The sequence below is a fragment of the Homo sapiens genome, chromosome 19, assembly GCF_000001405.40.
Source record: "Homo sapiens chromosome 19, GRCh38.p14 Primary Assembly".
NCBI classification, from domain to species: domain Eukaryota; kingdom Metazoa; phylum Chordata; class Mammalia; order Primates; family Hominidae; genus Homo; species Homo sapiens.
This window is the reverse complement of record NC_000019.10, coordinates 13,752,068-13,774,284: the sequence shown is the minus strand read 5'-3', so window position 1 is coordinate 13,774,284 and position 22,217 is coordinate 13,752,068. Positions and strand designations below refer to the sequence as shown.

Sequence of the window (22,217 nt, the reverse complement as noted above, 5' to 3'; positions counted from 1 at the left end):
GGTGACAATGATAAGCTAACGTTTATTGAGAGCTTATGTGTTTTAGAAAACTTACAACGTTTTATGATCTTTACACATAAAAACTCAGACTAGGTTAGGGTGTGGCACTCACCTCTGGTACAGAATTTAAGAAGGTTCAAAAACTTTGGTAATAGTAAACAATATTTTCAAGACTTAAAAAATATTTTAATATCCAAAATAATCAAATTGTTAAACTACATCCTGCAGACCGGCAGCATAATTTTGTAAATAAAGTTTTAGTGGAACCAGGGTGTTGAGGTCAGTAAGCTCAAGGCACAAGTGCGGGGTTCTAGCCTCTTCAAAATTTTATTTAGGCCGGGCACGGTGGCTCACGCTTGTAATCCCAGCACTTTCGGAGGCCGCGGGGCGCGGATCACCCGAGGTCAGGAGTTGGAGACCAGCCACGACTAACATGGTGTCTCCAATAAAAATACAAAAATTAGCCAGGCATAGTGCCAGGCTCCTGTAATCCCAGCTACTCGGGAGGCTGAGGCAGGAGAGTCGCTTGAACCCAGAAGGCGGAGGTTGCAGTGAGCTGAGATGGCACCACTGTACTCCAGCCTGGGCGACAGAGCGAGACCCCGTCTCAAACAAATACTTGTTTTGTTCATCATGGATTTTTTTTTTTTTTTAAAGAGATGGGGTCTCACTCTGTTGCTTAGGGTGAAGTGCAGTAGTGCAATCAAAGCACACTGCATCCTTGAACTCCTGGGCTCAAGCCATCCTCCCACTTCAGCCTGAGTAGCTGGGGCTAGAGGTGTGAGTTCCATGCCCAGCTCATTGTTTTTAAATTTTTGTTTGTAGAGACAAGCTCTTCCTATGTTACCCAAACTGGTCTCAAACACCTGGGCTCAAGGGATCCTCCCAAAGTGCTGGAATTACAGGCATGAGCCACCAAGCCTGGCCTCATCATGGATTTTTGCATTAATTTTGATTTTTAAAAAATACTGCTGTAAGGTCAGGCACAGTGGCTCATGCCTGTAGTCCCAGCACTTTGGGAGGCTGAGGCAGGGGGATCATTTGAGTCAGGAGTTCGAGACCAGCCTGGCCAACATGGTGAAATCATGTCTCTACTAAAAATAGAAAAATTAGCTGGGCATGGTGGCGCATGCCTGTAATCCCAGCTACTCAGGAGGCTGTGGCAGGAGAATCGCTTGAACCGGGGAGGCACAGGTTTCAGTGAGCTGAGATCTCGCCTCTACATTCCAGCCTGGGTAACGAGTGATACTTGATCTCAAAAAAAAAAAACCCAAAACAAAATATTGCTTTAAAATATTTTTTATCTTGGTTGCTGAGCTTTTTTGGTGTCCTCTTAAAATTCTGCCCTGGAGATGTCACCCTAGCTCCAGCCCTGACCTTAAGAGGGAGGTACTAGTATTATCCACATTTATTTTTTATTTTTTTAATTAAATAATTAATTAATTATATTTATTTTTGAGACGGAGTCTCGCTCTGTTGCCCAGGCTGGAGTGCAGTGGCGCTATCTCGGCTCACTGCAAGCTCTGCCTCCCAGTTTCACGCCATTCTCCTGCCTCAGCCTCCCAAGTAGCTGGGACTGCAGGTGCCCACCACCACACCCGGCTAATTTTTTGTATTTTTAGTAGAGATGGGGTTTCACCATGTTAGCCAGGATGGTCTCAATCTCCTGATCTTGTGATCCACCTGCCTCGGCCTCCCAAAGTGCTGGGATTACAGGTGTGAGCCACTGCGCCCGGCCTGTTATCCACATTTTATAAATGAGGAAACCAAGGCACAGAGAGGTGAAGTGACTTGCCCAAGATCATACAGTGGGAAAAGTGGCGGAGTCAGGATTTGAATCTGGGCAGCCTGGCTCTAGGTGCTGGGCTCTAGATGGAAGGCCCTGTCTGAGCTCCCTGCACTAGGAACAAGTGTGGTCAGGGGCTGGACGGTCAGCTTTTGGGTAGCCATTCAAGAAATGTATTGAAAAACCTAGAGAGGCAGGCTAGGGAGAGCTGAGTTGGTTACATCTGGGGTCCATCTAGGGTTCCATCCCTGGAAGAGATGGTGGTGGTTAGGGCTGTCCGGAGCTCCTCAGGGGCAAAGACCCCCAGTTCTGTGATGATGCCACCAGTGATGAGGTCGTGGGGGGTGACATCGAAGGCAGGATTCCAAACTCCAATCCCTGCAGGGGAGAGAGGGGAGGCAAGGAGGCAAGAATTTGCTTCTGTGAAAGTTCTCAGGTTGTAGTCATCTGTTTCTACCACAGTGGTTCTTGGAGTTGGGGAGTCCTTGAGAACCTGAGGATTCTCACCCCAAAAGTACATGCAGGCATGGACATTGTACTCAATAGTAAGTTTAGACTCGCCACTGCCCCTAGAATGTCAGTCCCCAAGAAAAATTCAAAGTCCTATACACATCTATGCCACTTATTTTTTTATTTTTTGTGAGATGTAGTTTTGCTCTTGTTGCCCAGGCTGGAGTGCAATGGCACGATCTTGGTTCACTGCAACCTCCACCTCCCAGGTTTCAAGCAATTCTCCTGCCTCAGCCTCCCGAGTAGCTGGGATTACAGGCATGCACCACCATGCCCAGCCAGTATTTTTAGTAGAGACGAGGTTTTTCCATGTTGGTCAGGCTGGTCTCAAACTCCCGACCTCAGGTGATCTGCCCGCCTCGGCCTCCCAAAGTGCTGGGATTACAGGCGTGAGCCACCGCACCTGGCCCATCCCACTTATTTTTTTAGTTTTATTTTTAATTATTATTATTATTTTTGACACAGAGTCTCGTTGTGTCACCCAGGCTGTAGTACAGTGGTGCGATCTTGGCTCAGTGTAACCTCTGCCTCTTGGATTCAAACGATTCTCCTGCTGCAGCCTCCTGAGCAGCTGGGACCACAGATGTGCACCATCATGTCTAGCTGTTTTTTTGTTTTTTTGAGATGGAGTTTTGCTCTTGTCACCTAGGCTGGAGTGCAGTGACATGATCTCAACTCACTGCAACCTGTGCCTCCCAGGTTCAAGCGATTCTCCTGCCTCAGCCTCCCAAGTAGTTGGGATTACAGGCGCCTGCCACCTCGCCCAGCTAACGTTTTTTTTTTTTGTATTTTTAGTAGAGACGGGGTTTCACCACATTGGCCAGGCTGGTCTCGAACCCCTGACCTCAGGTGATCCGCCCGCCTCAGCCTCCCAAAGTGCTGGGGTTACAATCATGAACCACCACACCTGGCAAAACAATTTTTTTAGAGATTGTGGTCTGGCAATGTTGCCCAGGCTGGTCTTGAACTCCTGAGCTCAAGTGATCCTCCCACCTCAGCCTCCCAAAATACTGGGATTTCAGGTGTGAGCCATTTTACCTGGCCCCATAATGCTAATATTGGTTCATGCTAATATTTCATGAACTGTTTTTTCTTTTTTTTCTTTGAGATGGAGTTTCACTCTTGTTGCCCAGGCTGGAGTGCTGTGGCGCTATCTTGGCTCATTGCAACCTCCGCCTCCCGGGTTCAAGCAATTCTCCTGCCTCAGCCTCCTGAGTAGCTGGGGTTACAGGCATGTGCCACCACGCCCGGCTAATTTTGTATTTTTAGTAGAGGCAGGGTTTCTCCATGTTGGTCAGGCTGGTCTTGAACTCCCGACCTCAGGTGATCCGCCCGCCTCGGCTTCCCAAAGTGCTGGGATTACAGGCGTGAGCCACAGCGCTCGGCCTTTTTTTTTATTTTTGAGATGGAGTTTCGCTCTGTCACCCAGACTGGAGTGCAGTGGTGCAGTCTCAACTTACTGCAACCTCTGCGTCCTAGGTTCAAGCAATTCTCATGCCTCAGCTTCCCAAGTAGATGGGACTACAGGCATGTGCCACCACGCCTGGCTAATTTTTATATTTTTTTAGTAGAGACGTGGTTTCGCTCTGTTGGCTAGGCTGGTCTGGAACGCCTGACCTCAAGTGATCCGCCCACCTCCGCCTCCCAAAGTGTTGGGATTATAGGCGTGAGCCACGGCATCTGAGTGCATGAACTATTTAAAGGGCCAGTCATTGATCTAAATGTCCTGTGGGTTAATTCACTGACCGCCCTTGGGTTTATGCAGCAGGTTCTAGCCATAGCCCATTTTACAGATAGGACCAGTGAGGATCTTAGGGAATTAGAGAATTTAGGGAACTTGCTAACGGTTGCACAGCCAGGAAGTATAGGCAGCTAAGAAAAGTCTTGCAGCTAGGCATGGGAGCTCACACCTGTAATCTCAGTGCTTTGGGAGGCTGAGGCAGGAGGATCGCTTGAGGCCAGGAGTTTGAGACCAGCCTGGGGAACATAGCGAGACCCTATCTCTATGAAAATAAACAAATAAAAATAAGTGTAGAAATATCTTGCTTTTTCTTTTCTTTTTTTTTTTTGAGACAGAATCTCACTCTGTTGCCCAGGCTGGAGTGCAATGGTGTAATCTCAGCTCACCACAACCTCCGCCTCTCAGGTTCAAGTGATTCTCCTCCCTCAGCCTCCTGAGTAGTTGGGACTACAGGCGGGTGCCACCATGTCCGGCTAATTTTTGTATTTTTAGTAGAGACGGGGTTTCACTATGTTGACCAGGCTGGTCTCGAACTCCTGACCTTGTGATCTGCCCGCCTCGGCCTCCCAAAGTGCTGGGATTACAGGTGTGAGCCACCTCGCCTGGCCGTCTTGGTTTTTCTTTACAAACACGTGGCCAGCCAGATATTCTTATTTCCTCTTAAGAAAACCTAAGTGGAGAATAGCAAGACAGTTACTCAAGATCATTCATATAACCGGTTAGTTGTAAATTCCAACATTGGATCTGACCTCCAGGATGCACCTGTTAGAAGAAGTGGCTTGGGCCAGGCGTGCTGTGGCTCACACCTGTAATCCTAGCGCTTTGGGAGGCAGAGGCAGGCTGATTGCTTGAGGTCAGTAGTTAATAAATAGCCTGGTCCACATGTTGAAACCTCATCTCTACTAAAAATACAAAAATTAGCCAGGCGTGGTGGCACCCACCTATAGTCCCAGCTACTTGGGGGGCTGAGGCAGGAGAACTGCTTGAGCCCGGGAGGTGGAGGTTGCAGGGAGCCCAGATCGTGCCACTGCACTCTAGCCTGAGGGACAGAGCAAGACTCCATCTCAAAAAAAAGAAAAAAGAAAAAGTGGCTTGTAGGAGCTGTGTATGTTCCAGAAGGATGACAAGGACCTGCATATCACCTGCCTCCATGAAGTGCCCAGGAGCTGGGGTGTCCCCTTTCTGAGGGGGCAGCTTACCAGGTGCTGCAATCCGGACCCCATTAACATCGGTCAGCTCCTGGCCCGGTCGCTCTTCAATAATGATCTCCTTGCCGGTCTCCAGACGGAGGTCACATGAAGAGCTGGGGGCAGCCACGTAGAAGGGAATGCCATGGTGCTTGGCGACAATGGCCAGCTGGTAGGTGCCCACCTTGTTGGCTGTGTCGCCGTTGGCAACCACGCGGTCAGCTCCCACGACCACAGCTGGGGAGGGGGCGTATGAGAAGTTGGGGGTCATTACCTGGCCCCATGCTCCAGAGCCCCGCCCCCAGGGCTTACCGTCTGCTTACCTGACACGCCCCTATGGGCCATGGCAGCAGCCACCATGCTGTCGGTGATAAGGGTGGCGGGGATCTGCTCATAGACCAGCTCAAAGGCCGTCAGCCGGGCTCCCTGGTTGTAGGGCCGGGTCTCTGTGCAGAAGGCATGCTCCAGGCGGCCCAGGCTGTGCAGTGAGCGAATCACACCTGCGGGGGCCCCACCCACCAGGAGAAGGCCCCGGGGAGGGGCAAACAGACAGGGTGGTCCATTGGTTAGGGGTGCAGGCTCCTAGTCTGGGCGTGGATTGCCAAAGGCTTACCGAGCACAGTCCCGCCCAGGGGCCCTCGCAGTGGCAGTTCCCTCTGCCTGGTATGCTCTTCCCAATGCTCGCATAGCTCCGTTTCACGTCTGTTTAAAGGACACCTTCTCGGTGAAGCCTTCCCTGATATATCAGTTTTGCATAGCAATCCCCACACTTTCAGTTTCCTGCTCTCTGTCCTTAGCATTTATCACCTTCTAACACCTCATGTGTACAGGCAGCCCCCCTTTTCTATGGGTTCTCCATCCATGGACTCAACCATGTGGATTGAAAATATTTGGGCTGGGCGTGGTGGCTCACGCCTGTAATCCCAGCACTTTGGGAGGCCTAGGCAGATGGATCACGAGGTCAGGAGATCGAGACCATCCTGGCTAACACGGTGAAACCCCATCTCTACTAAAAGTTCAAAAAATTAGCCGGGCGTGGTGGCGGGCACCTGTAGTCCCAGCTACTCGAGAGGCGGAGGCAGGAGAATGGCGTGAACCTGGGAGGCGGAGCTTGCAGTGAGCCGAGACTGCGCCACTGCACTCCAGCCTGGGCAACAGTGCAAGACTCTGTCTCAAAAAAAAAAAAAAAAAAAAAAAAAGGAAAGAAAGAAAATACTTGAAAAGAATCGCTGGAACCCAGGAGGCAGAGGTTGCAAGGAGCCAAGGTCGTGCCATGGCACTCCAGCCTGGGTGACAGAGCAAGACTCTGTCTCCAAAATAAATAAATAAATAAAAAGCAATCCTCCCATCTCAGTCCCCTCCCGAATAGGTGGGACCACAGGTGCATACCACTACACCCAGCTAATTTTAGTATTTTTTGTAGAGATGGGGTTTTGCCATGAAGCCCAGGCTGGTTTTGAACCCCTGAGCTCAAGCGATCCGCCCACCTTGGCCTCCCGAAGTGCTGGCATTACAGGCTTAAAAATAGAGACAGGGTCTTGCTGTGTTGCAAAGGCTGGTCTAGAACTTCTGAGTTCAAGCAATCCTCCCACCCCAGCCTCCTGATTACAGGCCTGCACCGCCACTACACCTAGCCAGTAACAACAATTTACATAGTATTTACATGGGACTAGCTATGATATGCAATCTAGACACGATTTAAAATATAGGGGTGGGCTGGGCACTGTGGCTTACGTCTGTAATCCCAGCACTTTGGGAGGCCGAGGCTGGCGGACCGCCTAAGGTCAGAAGTTCGAGACCAGCCTGGCCAATGTCGTGAAACCCCGTCCCTACTAAAAATATAAAAATTAGCTGGGCGTAGTGGCTCACGCCTATAATCCCAGACACTCAGGAGGCTGAGGCATGAGAATCTCTTGAACCCGGGAAGCAGAGGTTGTAGTAAGCTGAGATCATGCCACTGCACCAGCCTGGGCGACAGAGCAAGACTCTGTCTCAAAAAAAAAAAAAAAAAAAAAAAAAAAAATATATATATATATATATATATATATATATGTGGATGTGCATAGGTCATGCAAATATGATGGCATTTTTATATCAGAGACTTGAGCATCCATGGATTTTGGTATCTGTGGGAGGTCCTGGAACCAGTCCCCCACAGATATTGAAGGATGACTGTACTTATTTTGCCTGTTGACTGTTCCTTCTGCTTCCCTGGGACCCCTGAGAGCAGAGATTTTGTCTGTTTTGTTCACTGCTGCGTCCCCAGCAAATGGCGGTGTCTGAGCCACAGCAGGTGCTTACTAAATGCTGGGTGAGTGAATGAATCAAAGGCAGAGGTCTTTCCATTAAGGCCTCAGTTCCCAGGGATGAAGGTGGGACTCAGGCAGGTAGGGAAATTTCCTGGTGAATTTAGGGTCAAGTGGAATCTGCTGCCTTGGCCCCCTACAGCCCACTCCCCCTGTCTCCTGGTCACAGCTACCTAATCTTTCTCTGCTCACTCCCTTCTCCCCAGTTCCTCCTGGAGTCCACGTCCTGCCCTGGCTCTAGGCATATGGCTCAGGCGGGGCCCATCGAATGACTGCTCTGGGATGGGCAGGTGCCCTAGTGGACCCCCTGAGATACAAGGAGACTTTTCTAGTATAGGAGGCTCTTTTCCTCATGATTTGGACCCTAACAGCCGCCTGCCAGCCCATGGAACCTGAAGATGAAGGAGGGCAGAGCTGAAGCACAGAGATAGATAGGTCCTGATGCTACTGGTTGAGCCCCTTGATCTTGCCATACCTGAAGCCAACTGTATAAGTGTTTCCGTACTAGAACTAGTACCTTCCCATTTTTTTTGTGGATAAAGTGGTTTGGGTTTGGGATTCTTTCTCTTGTATCTAAAAAAGTTCCTAGAAGGCCCTCCCCTACCCCCTGAGGAGGCCCTCTCACCTAGGGCTGTACCATAGCCAGCGGTGGCCAGAGCACCAGTGTTACAGTGGGTCAGCACAGTCACCTTGCCACCGCTGGGGGCCACCCGCTCCAGGAGGTGGCGGGCTCCTAGGTCCCCAATGCTTCGGTTGTCTCTGAGGTCTTTCTCCAGCATGTCCTCGGTGCAGCAGATCACTCTGGGGTGACAAGGAGTTTTCAGCACCAGCCACCAGGACCCGGGGCCCAGGCCAACGCCTCCTCTCTGCCTAACGCTGCTGTCCTGGAGCCCTCCTGCTCAAAGCCTCTCATTGCTGTGGGGCCTGGACCCTTCGGCCAGGGCCACCGAAGTGTCACTCCGTTCATTCATGCAAAGACATGTTTACCAAGCAGTTCCGGTATGACCCAGCAGTAAACAAGACAAAAATCTCTGCTCCTGTGGAGTTGACACTGGGGTGAGTGAGCCAGCTGATGAAGAGATAATAAAATGAAGGAAAAGCCGGCAGAATCAGGCAACAGAGAGCAGCGGGTGAGCTGGATCATATAGAATGGTGGAGGAGGGCGCTATGGATACCTGGCCCGCACCAATGGCACGTGCAAAGGCTGTAAGGCAGGCTCGAGCTTGGTGGGGTAAAGTGACATTGCAGGGAGGGCTGGAGCAGAAAGGAAGTGGGGGGAAAAAGATGGCAGGAAGGGGACCAGGACAGGAAAAAAAGTTCCTCAAAAGCAGAAACCAAGAGAACACGGAGATACTAAAAAGGGCCTCCAAGGGCGGATAAGGGGCTGCGTGTATTCAGGGGAGGCACGATTAAGGAGTTAGGTTTCAGGGCCAGGCTGCCCAGGCTAGACTCTGGGCCCCATCTGTGGGGCCCTGGACAAGGGACTTAAGGTCGCCGTGCCTCAGTCTCCCCATCTGTGGGGCCCTGGACAAGGGACTTAAGGTCGCCGTGCCTCAGTTTCCCCATCTGTATAGTGGGTCACTGTACTTAAAAAGAGTCAATATAATTCCTGCTCAGCGCCGTGCCTGGTACCAGATCCCCGTACCTCTCCCGGACCGCCTCTTCCGTAGCGCCCTCCCGTTCGGCCTCCCGGGCTGCAACATCAGCCAGGTCGCGGGCGGCGCGGGCCATGTTGACAGCGGTGGGCCGGGCGGTGACGAGGAAGCTCAGCTTGTCGCGCACGAAGGCCACGAGCGCGGCGAGTCCCGGTCCCCCGGCGCCCGCCTGCAGCTCCACGGCGAGGCTGAGACAGCCCACCAGGGCTATGGCCGGGGCGCCCCGCACCTGCGGGGCAGGGATTTGGGCGTCGGAAGCTGCAGGCGCGGGCGCACTCCCACCTCCAACCCGGCCGCCCCGCCGCCCCGCCGCCCCGCCGCCCCGCCGCCCCGCCGCCCCGCCGCCCCGCCGCCCCGCCGCCCCGCCGCCCCGCTGCACCTTCATGGCGCGGATGGCCTCCCAGGCCTGGTGCACCGAGCCCACCGCCTCGTAGCGGCTCTGCTTGGGCAGCAGCAGCTGGTCTAGGATCTGCAGGGAGCCCCGCGAGTAGCGGATCGCCTCCAGGGTCATGGTGCAGCAGCCAAGCCCAGCGCAACTCAGAGGGAGCTAGGGGTCCGCGCGCACTTGGGAGCGGGGCGGGGCCGTGGGCGGAGCCTCCCCCGGAAAAAGAGACACGCACATGCGCATCCAACCCGATTCCACGGGTTCCCAGGAGGCGGATTCCACGGGTTCCCAGGAGGCGGATTCCACGGGTTCCCAGGAGGCGGATTCCACGGGTTCCCAGGAGGCGGATTCCACGGGTTCCCAGGAGGCGGATTCCACGGGTTCCCAGGACGCGGATTCCACGGGTTCCCAGGACGCGGATTCCACGTGGCCGAACCCACTCCACGACTCCTGCCAAGCCCGAACGGAGTGAGCCGCCTCCTCGGAACCACAAAAGTGGCAGCATTTATGGGACGCCTAGTGGATACCAGGCCCCGTGTTTAACAACCTGCTGTCTAGAGTTAGGGATGTATCCCCAGTGGCAAGGTAACATCAAGTGTTCAAACCAAAGAATTTGTTAAATGATCTTCCAAGGTTGAGGGGGAGGTAGTGGGGGGTCGTGTGCCCCTTGATGGATGCAAGGCTGTTTCTGGGCCATTTTCTGCTCGGTTTCATTCAAAAGTAACATGCAGGACAGGCGCTGTGGCTCACGCCTGGAATCCCAGCATTTTGGGAGGCCGAGTCGGGCAGATCACTTGAGGTCAGGAGTTCGAGACCAGCCTGGCCAACATGGTGAAACCCAGTCTCTACTAAAAATACAAAAAATTAGCTGGGCGTGGTGGCGCACACCCGTAGTCCCAGCTGCTCGGGAGGCTGAGGCAGAAGAATCACTTGAACCCAGGAGGCAGAGGTTGCAGTGAGCCGAGATCGCGCCACTGCACTCCAGCCTGGGTGACAGAGCAAGACTCGGTCTCAAAAACAAAACAAAAAAACCCCAAAAGTAACATGCACGGGGGGCTTTTCCATGGGCCACCCCTGGGCTGGGTATAATAAAAAGCTCACACCTGTGTGCTCCAGCCCCTGCTGCATCTGGCACACATCCTGGGTACCCCGTGTGCCTTGTCCCTGGCCTTGTGTGTGTGGTTCCTGGCCCCCTTTTCACCCTTCACACTTGGCCCATGCCTCCTCCTCCAGGAAGTCTGTCCTGATTCCTGGCCAACCGGGACCACCACCTTGAGACTCTTGTTACTCTGGAAGGGGACCATGTCTGTGGTCACAGCTATGACCCTATACCAGCATTTGCTGATGAGAGGCCTACCAAGCTTGGTCAAGGTGGGGGGGTGGGGGGGCAGCCCCAGGGTCCATCTAACAACCCAAGACAGGGAAGAAGAGACAGGTCTTTAATGTACGGAGTCTCACAAGGCACAAACACCCTCACCAGGACCAAATAAATAACTCCACGGTTGCAGGAAGGCGCGGTCTGGGGAGGATGCGGCATCTGAGCTCTCCCAGGGCTGGTGGGCGAGCCGGGGGTCTGCAGTCTGTGAGGGGCCTCCTGGGTGTGTCCGGGCCTCTAGAGCGGGTCCAGTCTCCAGGATGGGGATCGCTCACTCACTCTCCGAGTCGGAGTAGTCCGCCACGAGGGAGGAGCCGAGACTGCAGGGGTGCCGCGTGTCGGGGGTGTCAGCTGCCTCCTGGGAGGAGCCTGCTGGCGACAGGGGCTTGTCCTGACGGCTCCCTTCCTGCCCCCTCGGGCTGCTGCACTTGGGGGTCTCAGTTGTTTCCGGAGGACAGTCTCCGGGGGACATGGGCCGGTCCTGGGCAGCCTCCTCTGGTACCCGCGGTTCCCCAGACTTGGGGGTGTCGGCCGCATGCTGGGGGCTCTCCGGGACGTCCCGAGACCTCCGCCGCACGATGCCCAGGTCCCCGACGGTGATGGGGGAGGTGGCAAGCGCGGTTCTGCGGCTCTGTGCCAGCTTCTTCAGGACGCCGCTGACCTTGCTGCTGGAGGCGGATCCGGGGGCAGAGGGGAACCAGGAGCGGCTGATGATCTCGGTCCGCTTGAGTTTCTGCTTGTCCTCGTAGGCTAGAGGAGAGGAGAGGACATTTCAGGGGCGGCAGGGGAGGGGGTCCAGAACTGCCCTCTGGTAGACCAGAGTCCACTCATGGCTGAGGACCCCCCATCTCCAGGCAACTCTGAGCCTCCCTGTCCCCTTTTCCCCCTGGCCTCCTACGCACAGTCCAGGGTGTGGAACTTCAGCAGAGCCGCCAGCTTGCGGTCATCTTCCGTCTCGGGCACCAGCGGGATGGTCAGGCTCGCCTTGGCCTGCAAGGCCTGGTCTCTCTCCTCCTCCTCCTGGATGGCTTTTTTCTTTTCCTGTGTTGAGGGCCAAGAACACCAGAGATAGGGGGTGTCAAAGCCCTGTCTCTTCTGTGTACTAGGGGGCACTGCTCCAACTCTCGGGGTCTCATTTACTCTTTTTGAGACAGTTTCATTCTGTCGCCCAGACTGGAGTGCAGTGGCACAATCATAGCTCACTGCAGCCTCGAACTCCTGGGCTCAAGCGATTCTCTCATGTCAGCCTCCCAAGTATCCAGTACTACAGATGTGCACCACCACGCCCAGCTAATTAAAACATTTATTTTTGTAGAGACTGGGCCTGGTAGTTCATGTCTGTAATCCCAGCACTTTGGGAGGCTGAGGCGGGTGGATCCCTTGAGGCCAGTAGTTTGAGACCAGCTTGGCCATCAAGGCAAAATCCTGTCTCTATTAAAAATATAAAAATTAGCCAGGCATGGTGGCATGCGCCTATGGTCCTAGCTACTTGGGAGGCTGAGGCATGAAAATCACTTCAACCGGGGAGGTGGAGGTTGCGGTGGGCTGAGATCGTTGTCACTGCACTCCAGCCAGGGCGAAAGGGGGGAGACTGTTTCAAAAAAAAAAAAAAATTTTTTTTTGTAGAGATGGGGTCTCACTATGTTGCCCAGGCTGGTCTCCAACTCATGGCCTCAAACAATCCTCCCACCTGAGCCTCCCAAAGCACTGGGATTACAGGTGTGAGCCACCACGCACGGCCTCATCCCACAAATATTTCTGGGATACCCACCTTGTGCTAGGCTTTGTTCTGGACACTCGGCATACAGTGGCAGGCAGGGAAAAACCCTTGCCCTGGTGGAGCTGGCCTCTAGTGGTGAGACAGTGATAAGGAGAAAAAAAATGCAGGACAGGTGGGTAGGGGATGGGCTGGGCGGTTCCATTTATTTTTTAATTTAGTTTAATTCTATATTTTTTTGAGACAAGAGTCTTGCTCTGTCGGCCAGGCTGGAGTGCAGTGGCACGATCTCAGCTCACTGCAAACTCCACCTCCCAGGTTCACGCCATTCTCTTGCCTCAGCCTCCCAAGTAGCTGGGACTACAGGCACCCGCCACCACACCTGGCTAATTTTTTTTTGCATTTTTAGTAGAGACGGGGTTTCACCATGTTAGCCAGGATGGTCTCGATCTCCTGACCTCGTGATCCGCCTGCCTCAGCCTCCCAAAGTGCTGGGATTACAGATGTGAGCCACCGCGCCCAGCCAAGAGGTTCCATTTAAAATGTGGTGGCCAGGTCAGATGCAGTGGCTCACGCCTGTAATCCTAGCACTTTGGGAGGTTGAGGTGGGTGGATCACATGAGGCCAGGATTTCGAGACCAGCCTGGCCAACATGGTGATACCCAGTCTCTACTAAAAATACAAAAATTAGCCATGCACAGTGGTGGGAACCTGGAATCCCAGCTACTTGGGAGGCTGAGGCAGGAGAATTGCTTGAACCTGGGGTGGAGGCTTCAGTGAGCCGGGATCATGCCACTGCACTGCAGCATGGGCGACGAGCGAGACTCAGTCTAAGCAAAAACAAAACACAAAAAACCCAACATTAGCCAGGTGTGATGGCTCATGCCTGTGGGTCCCAGCTACTTGGGAGGCTTAGTGGGGAGGATTGCTTGAACCTGGGACATCGAGGCTGCAGTGAGACATGATTTGCCGCTGTACTCCAGCCTGGGCAACAGAGTGAGACCCAGTCACAAAAAGAAAAAAAATAAATAAATAAAAGGAGGCAACCAGGTAGGTATCTCCCATGGCATGGTGAGGTAGGGGTGAGCTATGGTCTCAATGTCTGTGTCCCCCAAATTGATATGTTGAAGCTTAATCCTCAACGTTGACAGTGTTAAAAGATGTGAGGCATTTGGGGAAGTAATTAAGTCAGAAGGGCTACGTCCTCACCAATGAGATTATTGGACTTATAAAAGGAGGCTCAAGGGAACTTGTTTGTCCCTTCTGCCACATGAGGACACAGCTAGAAGCCACCGCCTATGAGAAATGGGCCCTCACCAGACACTGGATCTGCCAGCGCCTTGATCCTGGACTTCGCAGACTCCAGAACCATGAGAAATAAAATTCTATTGTTTATTTTGGCTGGTCTCGGTGGCTCACGCCTGTAATCCCAGCACTTTGGGTAGGCCACGGTGGATCACTTGAGGTTGGGAGTTCGAGACCAGCCTGGCCAACATGGTGAAACCCCGCCTCTACTAAAAATACACAAATTGGCCAGGTGCGGTGGCTCACGCCTGTGATCCCAGCACTTTAGGAGGCCGAGGCAGGCAGATAACCTGAGGATGGGAGTTTGAGACCTGCCTGACCAACATGGAGAAACCCCGTCTCTACTAAGAATACTAGCTGTGCGTGATGGTGCATGCCTATAATCCCAGCTACTCAGGAGGCTGAGGCAGGAGAATCACTTGAACCCGGGAGGCAGAAGTTGCGGTGACCCAAGATCATGCCATTGCACTCCAGCCTGGGCAATAAGAGTGAAACTCAGTCTCAAAAAAAAAAAAAAAAATTAGCCAGGCGTGGTGGTGGTGGGTACCTATAATTCCTGCTACTCTGGAGGCTGAGGCAGGAGGATTGCTTGAACCCAGGAGGCAGAGGTGCAGTGAGCCAAGATTGCGCCACTGCACTCTAGCCTGGATGACAGAGCGAGATGACTACTGTCTCAAAACAAAAAAAAAATTAATTTCTATTATTTATTTATTTAGAGATGCTGGGGGAGGGGGGGGGTGGTGTCTCACTATGTTGCCCAGGCTGATCTTGAACTCCTGGCCTCAAGCGATCCTCCCAATGTGCTGGATTACAGGCGTGAGTCACTGTGCCCAGCCAAATTTCTACTGTTTCTGTCTATGGTATTTTTTATTATAGTAGCCAGAATGGATTAAGACAGGGCATGGTCACCATGTAGCAGATGGGGAAACTGAGGCTCAGAGGGTACAGTGGCCTGCTCAAAGCTAGGATGTGGTGGGGGGAGGGCTGGACCCGGGCCTTGGTCCACCATGCATCCTCTCTGACCCCGGGCTGGAGCCCCCCTCACCCGGAACCTTCTCCGCAGCATGCTGTTGAGGGCGAAGTCGTCCTTCCAGGCGCTCTGGGCCTCCTGGATGTGGCTCAGTGTGGGCAGCGCCTTCTTGAGTGTGCTGCGGTCGGCCTCGCCATGCTCCAGCCGGAACATGGCGTCCGTCTCCAGCTTCTGCTTCTTCTCATGCTCTGCAACGATCAGAGCTCGGCTGGGCTTTGGGGGCCCCAGCGCAGACTCAGGGCCAGGGCCCCCAGGCAGGTAAGTGGGTGGCGCTCACCTGTGGTCAGCACCTGCTCATTGTCCGCCATGTCCCAGCGCTCCTCCTTGCGCTGGGCGCCACTCACGATCACGTAGTCGCAGTTGGCGGGGTCCGTCTGCATCTCGATGTAGTTGACACAGAGGTGGCATTTCATCCGGAACCTGGGAGGGAGCGGTGGGCAGGAGTCAGGAGGCTGTGGCTGTGCACCAGGACAGCCCTGTCGCCTCTGCCTGCTTCCTTCCACCCAATGGTGTCATTTGACAAAAATTCACTGAGCACCCACTGTGTGCCGTGTAGAGCCACGGGCAAAAAGGGGCACATCCGGGCACCCAGAACGGACCTTCTGTCAGTGGGGCTGCAGTTGGCTTATTCATTTGTTCATTCAGCTGTTTGTTCATTCATTCATTCCCTCATCCATTTTTTTGGTTCATTTATTCGTTAATTCATTTGTTCATTCATTAGTGCATTTGTTTGTTGGTTCACTGATTCATTTGTTAAAGTAATTCATACATTCATTTGCTCATCCATCCATTTGTTAATTCACTTATCATTTGTTCATTCTGTTCATTCATTTGTTCATTCATTTGTCCACTAGTTCATTTATTCAACAAACCCGCCCAAGACAGGCTGCTCTGTGGCAGGCTCAGTGCCAGCTGCTGGGGAAATTGCTGAGTAGTGGAAAAGCCAACTTGCTCATGGAAAGGCTGACGTCCCAGCAGGGCCCACCTTGATAGCAAGGGCACAAGCAACCAGTGTCAAGTCTCACTTTAGAAAAGGTGTCTCTGAGGGGTGCTGTTTGAGCAGAAACCCCGGGTGAGGGAGGAGCCTTGGAGCTACCTGGGGAAGAGCATTCCAGGTGGAAGCACAGAGGTGGGTGTGTCCCTGGGGTGTGTGAGGGACAACGAGGAGGCCAGGGAGGGGGACAGCAGGAGGAGGTTAGGGTGAAGAAAGGACAGGCAGAGTGTGTGGTGCCTTGTGAGCCAGGGGGAGGACTTGGGCTTTTACTGAGGAAGGTGGGAGCCATGGAGGGTTGCGGGGGTGGGGTGTGCCCTGATTCACCAACCAGGGCGATTTCCAGGAGTCCTGCAGGGAATGGGTTCCCCCCGCAACTCAGGCTCTTTGTAGCCCCCTCGCCCTGTGGCCACCCCACCTGTTCCCAAGATGCCACCAAGCCGCCCTTACCTGTAGATCGGGGTTGTGTAGTAATTGCCCACCTTCTTCTTTTCTGCATTGTAACGAACACCTGGAAGGGGGTCAGGCGGGGGTGGTAATTTCATTGCCATCTGAATTTTGCAGATGGGTAAAATGAGGTACAAAGAGGCTCACTGTCACTTGCTGAGGGTTCCCCAACTAGGAGGAGTTAGAGACGGGATTGGAAGCCAGAGCCTGGCTTCCTAATCCCTCTGCAAAGGGGCTTCCATGGCCAGCCAGTCACTCGGGTGCCCGTCTCCTCCCTCATTCCTGATCAGGACCCTCCCACCCCCACCCCGGCGGCATCCAGCAGTTAGGGGGTCTGATGTTTGCAGGACTGAATGGAGGGTGGGCAGAGGCTCACCCATGCCGATGTGGTTCTTGCAGCCATCGCACCAGATGTTATATGGCATTTCGAATCTGCAAAGACAGACAGCATCTTACTTGCACTTGTCCACTTGGACACTCCCTGGGTCTCCACACCTGCGACTCTGGCCGCGGTTGTGATTTGAGGGGTGGGGTATTAGACTGCCCTGTTAACGGGAGTTGCTGCACTCACATTACACAGGAAATGGATATATGGAAGAAAAAGAATCACAACCATTGTAACTGAGCAGGAACTTCCTGCCTGCTAGAAAGCAGACTGACCAGGTCCAGGGACAGCCGCCTTTGGGTGCTGCTGCGACTTTTTTTTTTTGAGACAGAGTCTTGCTCTGTTCCCCATGCTAGAGTGCAGTGGTGCGATCCTGGCTCACTGCAACCTCTGCCTCCTGGGTTCAAGCAATTCTTATGCCTCAGCCTCCCAAGTAGCTGGGATTATAGGTGTGCGCCACCAATTCCGGCGAATTTTTTTTTTTTTTTTGAGATGGAGTCTCGCTCTGTTGCCAGGCTGCAGTACAGTGGCATGGTCTTGGCTCACTGCAACCTCCAGCTCCCTAGTTCAAGTGATTCTCCTGCCTCAGCCTCCCGAGGAGCTGGGATTACAGGTGTGAGCCACCGCACCCAGCCTAATTTTTTCTATTTTCAGTAGAGACAGGGTTTCACTGTGTTGGCCAGGCTGCTCTCGAACTCTTGGTCTCAAGTGATCCACCTGCCTCACCCTCCCAAAGTGCTGGGTTTACAGGCGTGACCCACTGTGCCCAACTACGATCACTGTCTTTTTTGAGAGTCCTATGTGATCAAGTCCAGGCTGGCCTGCTACAGGTTGAGATACAACACGGAGCAGAGCCCAGCTGTACAGGTCAAGTCCCTGCTAAACCAGCCAGTCCCCAGCCAGCCAACTCTGAAACACATGGGAGCCCAGCCCAGATCAGGCCAGCCTAGCCCAGCCCAGCCAAGCTCTTCCAAGCCCAGCAGAGATATTTTGCTGAGCTGCAGACATGTGAGCAATAATAAATGCTTATTGTTTTGTCACACGGCAATAACTGACTGATACGGTGACTTTCTGCTTTATGGAATGAAGACCCTGCAGCACTGGGCCAATGAGGGCACTGAACTCTCCTTGAGACTGAAGGAATGGGGCAGGACGGTGGGGTCCTCAGGTGATGCTGGGCCTTACCGGATGATGAGGATGCCCTGTGACAGCTTCCGAGCCCGCTCCCGAAGCGGGTGGCTGTTGTGGTATCGGTTGAGAGAGCCATGCTGTGTGGAGAGGATGAGGAGCGGATTAGTGCTGCTGAGCTGGAGGAGCTCACAATTTTCTGCCACCCCCACTGCTTTGGGACAAGTGTCTCACAGGTGGGAGAGGCCTTGATTCTTATGTCCTGCAGGACGGGTGTTCATAGCAATAGGGGGCATCCAGGTCTTACTGGAACATGTAGGCTTGGAACCAGGAACGTGAGTTTGAATAGTCCCTCTCTTATTTATTTATTTATTTTTTGAGATGGAGTTTTGCTCTTGTTGCCCAGGCTGGAGTGCAATGGCATGACCTTGGCTCACTGCAACCTCTGCCTCCCGGGTTCAAGTGATTCTCCTGCCTCAGGCTCCTAAGTAGCTGGGATTACAGGCGCCTGCCACCACGCCCGGCTATTTTTTTTGTATTTGTAGTAAAGACGGGGTTTCACCATGTCACCCAGGCTGGTCTCCAACTCCTGACCTCAGGTGATCCACTTGCCTCGGCCTCCCAAAGTGCTGGGATTCCGGGTGTGAGCTACTGCGCCCAGCCCTGTTCCCATTTATGAGCTGAAAGAGCCAGGGGACCCTGGGCGAGTGACCTCACGTTTTGCCTTCCCGAGCCTCTGTTTCCCTTGTCTGTCAACTACGTATAATGGTCATTATTACTTCCAGGTTTTATGGGGAAGATGAGGTGAGGTGACAAGACTGGCAAACATTCGCTGGGGACTTCATGTGCATCACCTTATTTTTTTTTTTTTTTTTTTGAGACAGAGTCTCGCTCTGTCACTAGGCTGGAGTGCAGTGGCGTGATCTCGGCTCACTGCAACCTCCGCCTTCCGGGTTCAAGCGATTCTCCTGTCTCAGTCTCCCAAGTAGCTGGGACTACAGGTGTGGGCCACTACGCCCAGCTAATTTTTGTATTTTTAGTAGAGATCAAGTTTCACCATGTTGGCCAGGATGGTCTTAAACTCTCGACCTGGTGATCCACCTGCCTTGGCCTCCCAAAGTGCTGGGATTAGAGGCGTGAGCCATGGCGCCGGCTTTTTTTTTTTTTTTTTTTGAGGCAGGGTCTGGCTCTGTAGCCCAGGCTGGGGTGCAGTGGTATGATTATGACTCACTGCAGTCTCCACCTCCTGGGCTCAAGCAATCCTCCCACCTCAGCCTCCTGAGTAGCTAGGATTTATCCCTCAATGATTCTGTGAGGTCAGCTCATTTTATTTCCCCCTTCTGACGTATGGAGAAACTTTGGCATAGAGAGGCTAAATCCTATACTCAGGACGAGGCAGCTGGGACACTTGGGCCCTTACTGAGCACCTACTGTGTGGGGACACAGCCACAATAAGATAGATGAACATCTCTGCCTTCAGGGAGAGAATGTTCTAGCGGGGGAGATGGACAAGACGCAAATAAATGAATAAGTGAGGGAGTTATAAGGGCTATGAGATTATATAAAGTGCTCAGCAATGCAACAGAGAACGAGACAGTGGTCAGGGAGGACCTCTGTGAGAAAAGCACTTAAGGAAGTGAGAGTATGGTGAAATGGAGGAAGAGATTCCAGGCAGAGGGGACAACCAGGACGCCACAGGTGCTGGAGCTGGGGAAGCCATGGGATCTGACCCTTCATCTGTGCGCTCTGCCTTATCCTGGGCCCCTGCTGTAAACACACTATACTCTAGTATAGTGTGGACATGGAGTTACAGGTCCCTGAGGAGAGCCACAGTTATCACCCAAAAGTGAAGACAGCCTCGAGACTCAGGTGACATGCAGAAGACAAAAAGACCTTGGGGGCCACCCATCCTTCCGCAGCAGTGGCTCTAACCCCAAGAGGGGATGACGTGGGTCTTTTTGCTACTGTGGACCTGGAGCGGAGAGCCTGCTTACCTTCTCAGGGTTGAAGTCTGGAGGATAGTACTTGTTGACCCCTTTCCTTTCACCCTGCAAAGCAGAACAGAGACATGACTCAGAGAGAGGCTGATATGGTTTGGCTGTGTCCCTACCCAAATCTCATTCAAAAAAATTTTTTCTGATTTTTTATTTTACTATTAATTTTTAGAGATGGAGTCTTGCTCTGTCACCCATGCTGGAGTGCAGTGGTGCGATCTTGACTCACTGTAACCTCCGTTTCCCGAGTTCAGGCGATTCTCCTGCCTCAGCCTCCTGAGTAGCTAGGATTACAGGCATGCACCACCACGCCCAGCTAATTTTTTGTATTTTTAGTAGAGATGGGGTTTCACCATGTTGGCCAGGCTGGTCTTGAACTCCTGACATCAAGTGATGCACCCACCTCAGCCTCCCAAAGTGCTGGGATTACAGGCGAAATCTCATCTTGAATTGTAGTTCCCATAATCCCCACGTGTCATGGGAGGGACCTGGTGGGAGGTAACTGAATCGAATCATGGGGGCGAATCATGCTGTTCTCATGACAGCGAATGAGTTCTCGAGAGACCTCATGGTTTTACAAGGAGCTTTTCCTCTTGCTCATTCTTGCTGCTGCCACGTGAAGAAGGATGTGTTTGCTTCCCCTTCTGCCATGATTGTTAAGTTTCCTGAGGCCTCCCCAGCCATGCTGAACTGTGAGTCAATTAAACCTCTTTCCTTTATAAATTACCCAGGCTTGAGTATGTCTTTTTTTTTTTTTTTTTTTTTTTTGAGACAGAGTTTCACTCTTGTTGCCCAGGCTGGAGTGCAATGGTGCGATCTCATCTCACTGCAACCTCCGCCTCCCGGATTCAAGCAATTCTCCTGCCTCAGCCTCCCGAGTAGCTGGGATTACAGGCATGTGCCACTACGCCCAGCTAATTTTTTTGTATTTTTAGTACAGACAAAGTTTCACCATATTGGCCAGGCTGGTCTTGAACTCCTGACCTTGTGACCCACCTACCTCGACCTCCCAAAGTGCTGGGATTACAGGCGTGAGCCACCGCGCCCAGCCCTTGGGTATGTCTTTATGAGCAGCGTGAGACTGGACTAATACACAGGCTCCCTCCAGGAAACCTACTTGTGCAGCCTCAGGGGGCAGGACCTGGATAAGGGGGACTTGGGGACATTTTAGAGGACAGTGCTGGGCTCAGTGTCTGATTGGGGAAGGGCTACTTGGGCAAAAAACCCATTGTCATTGCTTTGGAAAATTCCATGAGGTTCAGATGCTCCTATGGTGGCTTTCACACTCTTTTGGAGACTGTGATTGACGGTAAGAAGTATTTAACATTGCCACTGGGCAGATACACATGTAGTACCGTTGAACACAGGTCTCAAGAAAGAACACTGAGCCTGGCTGAAGAGTCGCTCTTGTTTTCTTCTTTTTTTTTTTTGAGACAGAGTCTTGCTCTGTCACGCAGGCTTGGGTGCAGTGGTGCAATCTTGGCTCACTGCAACCTCTGCCTCCTGAGTTCAAGCAATCCTCGTGCCTTAGCCTCCTGAGTAGCAGGGACTACAGGAATGTGCTACCACATCCAACTAATTTTTGTATTTTTTTTTTTGAGATGGAGTTTCGCTTTCGTTGCCCAGGCTGGAGTGTGGTGGCATGTTCTCAGCCCACTGCAACCTCCACCTCCCGGGTTCAAGCGATTCTCCTGCCTCACCCTCCAGAGTGGCTGGGACTACAGGCTCCCGCCAACACGCCTGGCTAATTTTTGTATTTTTAGTAGAGACGGGGTTTCACCACGTTGGCCAGGGTAGTCTCAAACTCCTGACCTCAGGTGATCCACCCAGCTCAACCTCGCAAAGTGCTGGGATTACAGGCGTGAGCCACCGCGCCCAGCCTAATTTTTGTATTTTTAGTAGAGACAGGGTTTCGCCATGTTGGCCAGGCTGGTCTCAAACTCCTAATCTTAAATGATTTGCCTGCCTTGGCCTCCCAAACTGCTGGTATTACAGGCGTGAGCCACTGTGCCTGGCCTTGCAATGGTTAATTTTATGTTATATGAATTTCACCTTGTTAAAAAAAAATGAAAGAAAGAAAGAGAAAGGAAGGGGTAGGGGAGGGGGAGGGGAAAGGGGGAAGGGGAAATTTAGGTTGAGTGTAGTGGATCACTTGAGGTCAGGAGTTTCAGACCAGCCTGACCAACATGGCAAAACCCCGTCTCTACTAAAAATACAAAAATTAGTGGGACGTGCTTGCTTGAACCCAGAAGGCGGAGGTTGCAGTGAGCCGAGA

The 22,217-nt window shown here is 52.7% G+C and overlaps 2 protein-coding genes across 19 annotated transcripts in view, besides 4 other annotated features; both read right to left on the bottom strand.

Moving 5' to 3' along the window:
• On the bottom strand, positions 3-9,763 carry MRI1 (methylthioribose-1-phosphate isomerase 1). Of its 8 annotated transcripts, NR_138051.2 has the most exons (7): positions 9,565-9,763; positions 9,176-9,414; positions 8,220-8,331; positions 5,838-5,926; positions 5,548-5,724; positions 5,237-5,461; positions 3-2,164 (listed from the first exon to the last, which is right to left on the bottom strand). NR_138051.2 is itself a non-coding variant. In NM_001031727.4 (6 exons), exons 1-6 carry the CDS (start codon positions 9,694-9,696, stop codon positions 2,004-2,006), a joined length of 1,110 nt encoding a protein of 369 aa, NP_001026897.1. In that variant the 5' UTR covers positions 9,697-9,763; the 3' UTR covers positions 3-2,003. The 8 variants fall into 8 exon arrangements, 6 of the variants coding, with proteins under 6 accessions (NP_001026897.1, NP_001316501.1, NP_115661.1 ...); NM_001031727.4 differs by lacking the exon at positions 5,838-5,926 and having other exon boundaries at positions 8,156-8,331; NM_001329572.2 differs by lacking the exon at positions 8,220-8,331.
• Positions 69-138: an enhancer, noted in NCBI's record as "active region_14134". NCBI's record gives its function as "activates an Ori minimal core promoter by ATAC-STARR-seq in GM12878 lymphoblastoid cells {active_cell/tissue: GM12878}" and the evidence as "EXISTENCE:reporter gene assay evidence [ECO:0000049][PMID:35858748]".
• Positions 7,937-8,566: an enhancer, noted in NCBI's record as "H3K4me1 hESC enhancer chr19:13876533-13877162 (GRCh37/hg19 assembly coordinates)". NCBI's record gives its function as "activates a minimal SCP1, AML or CMV promoter by ChIP-STARR-seq in naive H9 embryonic stem cells {active_cell/tissue: H9 hESC(naive)}" and the evidence as "EXISTENCE:reporter gene assay evidence [ECO:0000049][PMID:30033119]".
• Positions 9,344-9,393: a silencer, noted in NCBI's record as "silent region_10208". NCBI's record gives its function as "represses an Ori minimal core promoter by ATAC-STARR-seq in GM12878 lymphoblastoid cells {active_cell/tissue: GM12878}" and the evidence as "EXISTENCE:reporter gene assay evidence [ECO:0000049][PMID:35858748]".
• Positions 10,996-22,217, bottom strand: part of YJU2B (YJU2 splicing factor homolog B) — a 31,538-nt gene continuing 20,316 nt past the window's right edge. For 6 of the 11 annotated variants that reach the window (NM_001320561.2, NM_001320564.2, NM_001320565.2 and 3 more), the window contains 8 exons: positions 19,943-19,996; positions 18,006-18,088; positions 16,812-16,867; positions 16,439-16,499; positions 15,275-15,417; positions 15,013-15,185; positions 11,848-11,986; positions 10,996-11,695 (listed from right to left, as the gene is read on the bottom strand). In NM_001320561.2, coding sequence (NP_001307490.1) covers positions 11,217-11,695; positions 11,848-11,986; positions 15,013-15,185; positions 15,275-15,417; positions 16,439-16,499; positions 16,812-16,867; positions 18,006-18,088; positions 19,943-19,996 — 1,188 coding nt within the window. In that variant the 3' untranslated portion in view covers positions 10,996-11,216. Of the gene's footprint in view, positions 11,696-11,847; positions 11,987-12,715; positions 12,795-15,012; positions 15,418-16,438; positions 16,500-16,811; positions 16,868-18,005; positions 18,089-19,942; positions 19,997-22,217 lie in introns of those variants that run through there. The other 5 variants (NM_001320566.2, NM_001320567.2, NM_001320568.2 and 2 more) reach the window with 3 other exon arrangements.
• Positions 11,036-11,552: an enhancer, noted in NCBI's record as "H3K27ac-H3K4me1 hESC enhancer chr19:13873547-13874063 (GRCh37/hg19 assembly coordinates)". NCBI's record gives its function as "activates a minimal SCP1, AML or CMV promoter by ChIP-STARR-seq in primed H9 embryonic stem cells {active_cell/tissue: H9 hESC(primed)}" and the evidence as "EXISTENCE:reporter gene assay evidence [ECO:0000049][PMID:30033119]".